The sequence below is a fragment of the Homo sapiens genome, chromosome 22 (genome assembly GCF_000001405.40).
Source record: "Homo sapiens chromosome 22, GRCh38.p14 Primary Assembly".
Taxonomy (NCBI): domain Eukaryota; kingdom Metazoa; phylum Chordata; class Mammalia; order Primates; family Hominidae; genus Homo; species Homo sapiens.
The window spans coordinates 43,893,155-43,902,982 of NC_000022.11; the positions used below are offsets into that span (position 1 = coordinate 43,893,155).

Below are 9,828 nucleotides of genomic sequence, written 5' to 3' on the forward strand. Positions count from 1 at the left end.
ACTGCGCCCATCCCTGTGTTACTGCTTTAATCACATGGCACATATCAGTGCCTTCTCATGTGAGCTCCTTGAGGGCCAGGTCCTCCATCTGTGCCTGGAAGAAGTGTGGCACAGTGTTTGTGGACTGAATGCTCAGCCCATGGCCTGGGTGGGTCATTTTCGGAGGAAGAGGTGGGAGGATCTGCTTCTCTTAGCCTCACACCTACCTCTTCCTTGACCTGGGAGTGAAGGGCAGCTTGCCCATGGGCACTGGGTGCAGAAGGCACCCTGGGACAGGCCAGCCCAGCCTCCCCTCCCACAGAGGTGGGCGGTACCGGGCTTTGCTGATCCCACACCAGGGGCGGCATCCTTGCCTCAAAGACCATGGGCCTGCACAGACTCACCCACCTGGTGGCAGGTACCCCAGGCTATCTCCATTGCGGGAAGGACCCAGCCCCAGCTGCAGGGGGTAATTAGAAGCCATGTGCTGACTCTGCTCCAGGAGGGAACCAGGTCACAGCAGGCACAGCCAGGAACATTTCACCCACAGTTGTGACTGTGCCGGAGGCAGACTGAGCCTCCCTGGAACAGTGGACCACCAGTGTGAGTTCAGGAAGGGAGGAGTTCAGGGGCTGGGAGTTCAGCAGGGACATGTTCCGGAGGTTTCGGAGAAAAAGCAAGGTTTGAGCAGGACCTTGGAGGTCGATCAAGGGTTCACCACGGGGAGAAAGGGAGATGGGCACAGAGGGAAGAGTTTGAGCAAAGGCACCAGGCAGGGAGGAGTAGGGAGGAGTGAGAAGCCAGCCAGCGGGAGAGAGCAGTCATGGCGGTGAGGGCAGGTGGTGCGGGGCTGTGGGAGGAAGCGTAAGGCCTGGAGCCAGGCTGAGTTTCTGCGTGCTTGATGCTTCAGGAATTGGGTCTTGCATTTTGGTGTGGGCTGTCTGAGGCCCCCCAGAGACAGCAGGCAGCACAGAGCTCAGGGTGGGTGACTGGTCAACATCAAGTGGGAAAACAGTCTGGCTGGTGGCATCACCAGAATGATGGGGCTGGTGGCAAGTCTAGCAGAAAGTGTCCAGAAGCACGGCCTTCCCCAGCAGCACCATCTTCTCAGGGAGCTGCCCTGGAACCAGCAGCTGAACCAAGGCAGGCTCACTTCTGGGGTGGCTTGGGAGGTTGCAGGAAGGCCAGGAGCCTGCAAGGGAAGATGTCGGGAGTTCAGGCTTGCTGGCTGTGTGACCCTCAGCAAGTCTCCTACCCTCTCGGTGTCTGCCTGACCTGGCCATCCACAGGACAGTTGTGGGCGAGCTGGTGTCAAGGAAGATGCACCTGGTCCACCCGGTCCTTTGCCATATTGTCCAGGCCTCTGGGCTTCCCATTCTTGGAAATAATGCTAATTCTATTATACCTCCCTAAATCCAAAGCAAGCATAACCAAACGTACTGGGCCACCCTGAGGCCAGTCTTGCACGGTAGTGTCTCCAAAAGGAAGTGAGGTTTGCTTCCACAGAGCACTGGAGGCCCCTTGCAGGTTCTTCAAGGCAATAGGGGGCAACAGGTGGGTCCGTCCTAGGGCCCTGCACTTACATTCTTAGTCTCCCAAACTCCCTGCTACAGGAAGAGGTGACTGGGAGGGGCTTGGGGGCTTCTTGGATGCTGGAAATGCTTCGTAGGTCGCTCTGATTACATGGTTGTTTACCCGCAAAAAACTTCCCCATGTGAATGTGATTGCATTCACAATCCACGTACTTGACCATGTGAATGTCATAAAGCTTAAAAAATAAGCCTTGGGCTGGGCAGGGTGGCTCACATCTATTCTCCCCGCCCTTTGGGAGGCCGAGGCGGGCGGATCACCTGAGGTCGGGAGTTCAAGACCAGCCAGCCAACATGGCGAAACCCCGTCTCTACTAAAAATACAAAAATTGGCCAGGTGTGGTGGTGTGCGCCTGTAATCCCAGCTACTCGGGAGGCTGAGGCAGGCAAATCACTTGAGCCAGGAAGCAGAGTTTGCAGTGAGCTGAGATCTCACCACTGCACTCTAGCCTGGGTGACAGAGTGAGACTCTGTCCCCCCAACAAAAAAAAAAAGAAAAAGAAAAATTCAACGAATCCCTCACAAACTCTTATGAAAAATAGAGGAAGAAGGAACATTTCCCAACATATCCTATGAGGCCAGTATTACCCAGATACCAAACCAGACAAAGACATTAGAAAAAAATAAGGTTAAAAACCAATATTTCTTATGACTATAGGGAAAATTCTCAAGAATAGGAGTTCCAGACGAGCCTGGACGATAAAGCGAGACCCCATCTCTACAAAAATAAAAATTAGCCAGGCTCACAGCTGTGGTCCCAGCTACTTGAAAGGCTGAGGCGGGAGGGTTGCCTGGTCCCAGGAGTTGGAGGCTGCAGTGAGCCGTGGTTGCAGTACTGCACTCCCACCTGGGCAACAAAGCGAGACCCCATCTTGGAAAAATAAAAAGCCCCTCCCCACCAGCCACATGATTCTAGCTTGTCCCCTCCAAGCCCCCTCCCCTGCCTCCTGGACTCCACCTTTTCTTTTCCATGAGTCCCTCTGCCCCGGCATTTTCTCCCCAGGTAGAGCACCTGCCTCAGTCCCCCCGTTACTCCACTCAGTAGAACAGTGGTCCGAGCACGTCATGTTTGGGGCCTGGCCACATTCACCGATTGCTTACAGGCCTCTGGGTGTCACACACCTCAGTTTCCCCTCTGCAAGTGGAGATGTGGCAGGACGGCCCTCATAGGGTTACCTTTGGGGTTGCAAAGGATGACTGATGTCTGTAAAACACTGAGCAGGGTCCCTGGTACGTGCTAGTTATCACTTACTCTTTTTAAATTCCTGTCACAATGTGGAGCCTGCCTAAAGTCTGGGGAATTTTAGGTAAGTGGATTCAATCCCAGCCCCAGAAAAGCTCCCTCCTCCAATCTGGGAAACAGGTGCTAATAACTGGTTTGACTAGTGTGCAAAATCAGCCAGGGGCCTCAGCACTTGCTGCTCTGCCCCAGCGGACAATGGGCACCCACGCGTTTGCACTGCAACCCTGAGAGTGAGGGGAGGGTGTGGAGGATTGAAATGGCTCCTGTTGGGGGAGGGACATGGGGCAGCACTGGCTTCTGGCTGGGGCCCAGGGCGCTACCCAACTTCCACTAACCCGGGGTTTTCTGAGGGCAGGTCTGGGAAGGTGGGTGCTTGGTGTTACCAAGTGGGGAAGGGTGACCAGGCATCCATTATTTGGTGATAGGGACTGAGGGCTGATGTGTGCATGGTGACCTCCAGGAGGCACTAGGGGCCACGTGCACCGTGGCTTGTTTCCCGGACAGCAGAGGCACAAGCATGAGGGGCGACAGTCAGGTGGGGAAGGGCCGCTCCTGAGACCAGCCTGGGCAATGGAGTGAGACCCTGCCTCTCACCAGCCACATGGCTCTAGTTCGTCCTCTCCAAGCCTTTCCTCTGCCTCCTGGACTCCTGGACTCCACCTTTTCTTTTTTGAGAGTCCTTCTACGCCGCCCCCCCCCCCCGACCGCCCCCGTTTTCTTCCCAGGTACAGCACCTGCCTGGGAGCTTTTTATTTTGATATCATCTCCCATTTTCAGAAAAGTTGTGAGAAAAGTACAGTGTTCATGGCTACCCTTTGCCAAGATTTCCTGATATTAGCATTTGTATTTATTTATTTATTTAAAAAAAATTTTTTTTTTGAGACCGAGTCTCACTCTGTCACCCAGGCTGGAGTGCAATGGCACATTCTTGGCTCACTGCAACCTCTGCCTCCCGGGTTCAAGAGATTCTCCTGTCTCAGCCTCCAGCATAGCTGGGATTACAGGCTCACGCCACCATGCCCAGCTCATTTTGTTTGTTTGTTTGTTTGTTTTTGCGGGGGACAGAATCTTGTTCTGTTACCTAGGCTGGAGTGCAGTGGCTCCATCTCAGCTCATTGCAACCTCCGTCTTCCGGGTTCAAATGATTCTCCTGCCTCAGCCTCCTGAGTAAGTGGGACTACAGGCATGTGCCACCATGCACGGTTTTTGTATTTTTAGTAGAAACGGGGTTTCACCATGTTGGCCAGGCTGGTCTCGAACTCCTGACCTCAGATGATCAGCCTGCCTCGGCCTCCCAAAGTGCTGGGATTAAAGGTGTGAGCCACTGCGCCTGGCCCTGATATTAACATTTTTAAATAGGTTTGTTTAATACCAAAAAAAAATTTTTTTTAAGTGGGTTCCAGCAGAGATGGGCAAGGCAGGAGCTGTGGAGTGGTTGGTACTGCAGGGGCCGGGTGGTAAGAGCAGTGCTGGGGGTGGGCACAGAACAGCCACAGGCGTGGGTGAGCACCAAAGGCCCTGGATGCTGGAGCTGGGCACTGCTGTCAACTTCGTAAGATAAGAACAAGGAGTGAAATGTGGGGTCAGGTGTCCCCAGATCAGCCACCAGCTAACAGGAGGGGAAACTGAAGTGCAGAGGGAAACTGCTTAGTCAAGGTAACGTGGAGACTCCCAGTTCCTCCTCCTCCTCTCACTGCCTCCATCCCCAGGATTGGGAAGACCTCATCTCCCCTGTGCCCTGTCCGCCTTTTTCCCTGATGCCCTAGGGCATAGGGCCAGGCAGCTGGGCCAGCCCTGGAGCAAGCTACGGACTAGACGAGGGATCAGACATTGTAGAGAGGCAGCAAAGTCCCAGGGCCTGACACAGCTCACCTTGACGGGTTGGTATTGATCCCGCCCTGCACCCTCGCAGGAGCTGACGCCACAGAAGCTTGCACAGCACTTGCTCTGAGTCATGGCTCCCACTCCACTCACTCCAGGACCTGGTCTGAGTCACGGCTCCCACCCCACTCACTCCAGGACCTGGTCTGAGTCACGGCTCCCACCCCACTCACTCCAGGACCTGGGCGCCCAAACCCCTTTCCCCACATTCAAGTCCAAATGTCTCCTGACCCCTTTGAATTTCTGCCAGTCTCCTCCTCTGACCAGTCCAGGACTGCAGGCAGCCGGTTCCAGGATGCTGCCAAGTCTGACAACCGTTCTTCCAGCCCATGGTGCCCTAGATACCAGGGCACTAGCTAGCCAGGCCACAAAGCCAGGAGCAGCCACGGCCTTAGGTCAGAGGCCCTCCTTGTGATCGGGATGGAGGGCAGCTTCCCACGGCCCTGGGCAGCTGTTGACAGCCCAGTGATGGGTGTGGAGCTGGGAGCTGGCCTTTTGGGGAACTGAGGACTTACCTGGCCTGGGAGAGCTGCTCAGGGCTGTTCTGGTTTCTGGGAATACAGCTGAGACCCAGACTGACCACGAGTCTCACGGGGTGTCCATCCTGTGAAACCGACCAAAATGAAATGAAAGGAAGAGAATGAAATAAAAGTCAGCAAGAGATGGGTCAGCTAGTGAGAAAGGCTGTAGCAGAGGCGTCATGGAGAGGGAGCTACTCCATATTTCGTGGTCAGGAAGGCTTCTTGGAGATGATGGGTTTGAAGCTGACACCTAAATGACAAATAGGATATCTGGGGCTAGGGCCTCTGCCAGGCAGCAGAAGCAGCATAAGCAAAGATGTTAGAGCAGATTGGCTGTTCAAGGAAGCAGGACCCTGTGTGGGGAGTGATAAGGAGGAGGGGGCCAGGCTGGAGAGATGATGGCTGATGCAGATTGAGTGTGTAATGTCCCAGGCACCCCTGGAAGCATTTTACCCGGGTTAATTTCTTCAATCCTTTCAGCAAACCACTGCCGTCAGCCCTGATTTACAGATTGGGAAATAGAGGCACAGTGAAATGTGAGATGAAGTAACTTTCTTTTTTTGTAGGGCAGGGGATGGAGTCTTGCTCTGTCACCAGGCTAGAGTGCAGTGGTGTGATCTCGGCTCACTGCAACCTCCACCTCCTGGGTTCAAACGATTCTCCTGCCTCAGCCTCCCACATAGCTGGGACTACAGGCACCTGCCACCATGCCTGGCTAATTTTTTTTTTTTTTGTATTTTTATTAGGGACGGGGTTTCACTATGTTGGCCAGGATGGTCTCGATTTCCTGACCTCATGATCTGCCCGCCTTGGCCTCCCAAAGTGCTGGGATTACAGGCATGAGCCACTGCGCCCAGTGGAGGTGAAGTAACTTTCTAATCATTAGCTGATTACCTCATGACAACTCAGGAGGTGAGGTGCTTGGATTATCTGCATTTCGCACTGAGGCCCAGGGAGATGAAGCAACTTGCCCAGGTTAACCCAGCTGGGAACTGGCAGGCAGAGTGGCTCCAGTCTGTGCCCCAGGCTGCCACCTGTCTTTTCAGGAGGCCCTGTTGTGCCAGAAAGCATTGCACAAGGGCTCTGGGTGGGCTGTCTCCTTCCCCTGGCCCCGGAAGCCCTCTCCTTGCCTGTCTTGGGTGGCTGTGTTGCCAGGCAGTCAGCATGGGCTTTGCAAACTGACAGACGTGTTTCTAATCTCAGCTCTGCCACTGACCAGGTCAGAGACCTTGAACAAGTCACTTGACCCTGCTGTGCCTGTGCCTACTGTATCCCCTCCAAAGCTCAGGTTGAAATTTAATTGCCATTGTGACAGTATTAAGACATGGGACCTTTAAGAGGTAATCAGGGCCGGGTGTGGTGGCTCACACCTGTAATCCTAGCACTTTGGGAGGCCAAGCTGGGTGAATCGCCTGAGGTCAGGAGTCTGAGGCCAGTCTGGCTGACATGGCAAAACCCCATCCCTACTAAAAATACAACAGAATTAGCTGCGCGTGGCAGCAGGTGCCTGTAATCCCAGCTGCTTAGGAGGCTGAGGCAGGAGAATTGCTTGAACCTGGAAGGTGGAGGTTGCAGTGAGCTGAGATCACGCCATTGCACTCCAGCCATTATCCTGTGGGTCCGGCCTGTCTTGCTCTCCCTTCCTCTCCCTGTGCCATGTTATGATGCAGCCAGACATCCCTCACTTGATGTGGCTCCTCAGTCTTGAACTTCCCAGCCTCCAGAACCGTGAGCTAAATAAGTCCCTTTTCTTTATAAATGATTCAGTCTCAGGTTTTCTGTGATAGCAGCAGAAGACCGACTAAGACAGCACTTCAGTCTTCCCATCTGTGAAATGGAGGTGTTCAGGGCCACCTCTCCCTGAGCAATTGTGAGGATGAGATGAGGGATGTGCCAAAGGTGCTGGGCACAGCAGTGGCCGTCACGTCCCAGGACATGGGGATGGTGACTGTCTCCCACAGCAGGTTGCTCTACCTCCAGCTGCCAATCATGACAATAACCAAGCCACCAGCTCCTGGTGCCTTCTGAGGACTCAGCTCCAGAGAGCACTTAACCCTCGACACCCCTGCTGAGTGGCAGGCATATCACCCCCGCTTAACAGGGAGCTGAGACTCAGAAAATTTGCGTAAATAACCCAGGGCCCAGCAGCCAGGAAATGTCAGTGCCAGGATCAGAACGGGGGGGTCAGAAACCCTCCAGTCACACTTGCCCTGTGGTTCCAGAATCGTGCTTTCCTTTCTGTGCGCACCCCACACTCCCCTGCACAGGGAACTGGAAGCCACTAGGCCCCTCACAGAACCTGAGCTCAGATAGGAGCACCCCATGAAGCCTGGGCTCCATCCTCCTGGAGGGGGAAAATAAAGCTTCCTGGCTTGGAAGACAAGGAGGAGGGGATGGGGACTGAGCCCCCAGCAGAGCCCTCTCAGGGCCGAGAGCCAGCCAGCAACACAGTCAGGGAGAAAGTTGCCCAGGAGCTTTGTCTCCAGCACTCTCTGGGTACCCATCATGGGTAGGGGTGGGCCTGGGGGGCTCCAGGTAACCAGCCAAGGGCTGTATGGACAGACCACCCCTGGAACCCGGGCTGCCAAGAGACACGGCACCCAGTGGGGGAGGTGCCAAGCCTGGCATTGGCCAGGGTGCTGGACAAGCCATAGCGTGGCTTGGTGGCCCAGTGAGCAGGCAGAGGAGGCCACAGGAGAGACAAAGGCAGCTAAGGAGTGGGAGCAGGAACCAGGGCCTTGTCACCCTGCCATCACCTTGTCACCAAACCCACGAGTACCTGTCACCCTGCCAGGGCAGACACCTGAGAGGGGCTTTTTTTTTTTTTTTTTTTTTTTTTTTTGAGACAGAGTCTTGCTCTGTTGCCCAGGCTGGAGTGCAGTAGCACGGTTTCAGCTCGTTGCAAACTCCACCTCCCAGGGTCAAGTGATTCTCCTGCCTCAGCCTTCCAAGTAGCAGTGATTACAGACACCTGCCACCATGCCTGGCTGATTTTTGTATTTTTGGTACAGATGGGATTTCACCATGTTTGCCAGGCTGGTCTCGACCTCCTGATCTCCTGTGATCCGCCTGCCTCAGCCTCCCAAAGTGCTGAGATTACAGGTGTGAGCCACTGCGCCTGGCTGAGAGAGGCTCTTGATGCCTTCTCACTCACCCTTGGCTGGTGGCCACCTCCCGCCAATGCTCCTTCCTCAATCCTGACCCGGTCTTTGCTCCATGGTCCAGCCACCCTCCCTCTCAACATGAGTGCCTGCTGGTGCTGTAGCCTTCCAACTGGACCACCCTCTCTCTCCCCCATTTCCCCACTGGATTATTTGTGGACCAGCCCACCAAGGACAGCCTTCAGCTTCTGTGTTCTTCCAAGTGCTTGGCAGAGGTTGGAGCCCCTTTGTGTTTCCTGCAACCCCGGTTCTCACTTGTGCTCTTAAGAAAAAACTCATCTGAGAGTATCCACTTGTTCTCACACAAGGACCACTGCGCTCAGGTCACACAAATGCAGCGTGGATCCCAGCCTGGCTTCTGATTCCCCATGACCTTCAGGAGCCGACCCTTGCTCCCTGGTCCTGGGCATCTGTGGAGCCCCAGCTCCGAGCCAAGCCACCGGGGTCTCTTGCCCCACTTTCCTCTCTGGGTGACAGGCACCCTACCCCACCTCAGGACTATTTCTAGAGGCTAGAAATTCCCCTAGCAGGCTCAAGTTCCTGCTGCTCTTTATTTGGGAGCAGCTGCTTGTTTCTTGCTCTGTGGGATAACCTGAAATCTGACATCTGCCCCTGCCCATTGGCTCAGCCTAAATGCTCATTTCCGGGTGCTGCCTTTTCTGCCAGAAAGAGGGCCAGCCATTTCCACTCTGCCTGCGCCTCAGAAAGCCTGGGCAGCAGTCCAGGGCTCCCCAGTGGATTGCACCCAGCTTGCTGCCGGTGCGGCAGGGGTCCTGGTCTCAAGGGGAAGATGCATCCTTAAGGCTGGTCTGGTCTCTAGCTGCCCTGTGTCCCTCTTCATGGTTTCTCTAAGAGGCATCTGTTTTGCTCATCACAAATGACTCCAGGTCACTTTAAATGCATGTGAGGCTTTTCAGGCTGAGCCCAGTGGCTCATGCCTATGATCCCAGCACTTTGGGATGCTGTGGCAGGAGAATCTCTTGAGGCCAAAAGTTTGAGGTTAAATAAGTAAATAAATGTAAGACTTTTATAAAAAGATTACTTATGTGTTTCTACATACTGATCCACATTTTGAAAACAAATTCCAGTCGTTTTGGTATGCCTAAAATTGTTCCAATTTTGTTTTGTTTTGTTTTGTTTTGTTTTTGAGACAGGGTCTGGCTCTGTTGCCCAGGCTGGAGCGCAGTGGTGTGGTTATGGCTCACTGCAGCCTCGACCTTGTGGGTTCAAGTGATCCTCCCACTTCAGCCTCCCGAATAGCTGGGACTACAGGTGCGCATCACCACACCCAGATCGTTTTTTAAATTTTTTTGTGGAGAAAAGGGTCTCCCTATTTTGTCCAGGCTGGCCTCAAACCCCTAGGCTCAAGCAGTCCTGCCACCTCAGCCTCCCAAATGCTGGGATTACAGGCATGACAGCCACTGTGCCCGGCCTAAAATTGTTCCAGTTATAAA

The 9,828-nt window shown here is 54.2% G+C and overlaps 1 annotated feature.

The window, feature by feature from the left end:
* Positions 4,286–5,485: an enhancer, noted in NCBI's record as "MED14-independent group 3 enhancer chr22:44293320-44294519 (GRCh37/hg19 assembly coordinates)". NCBI's record gives its function as "activates an origin of replication core promoter dependent on BRD2, BRD4, P300/CBP and CDK7 cofactors, and independent of MED14, by STARR-seq in HCT116 cells {active_cell/tissue: HCT116}" and the evidence as "EXISTENCE:reporter gene assay evidence [ECO:0000049][PMID:35650434]".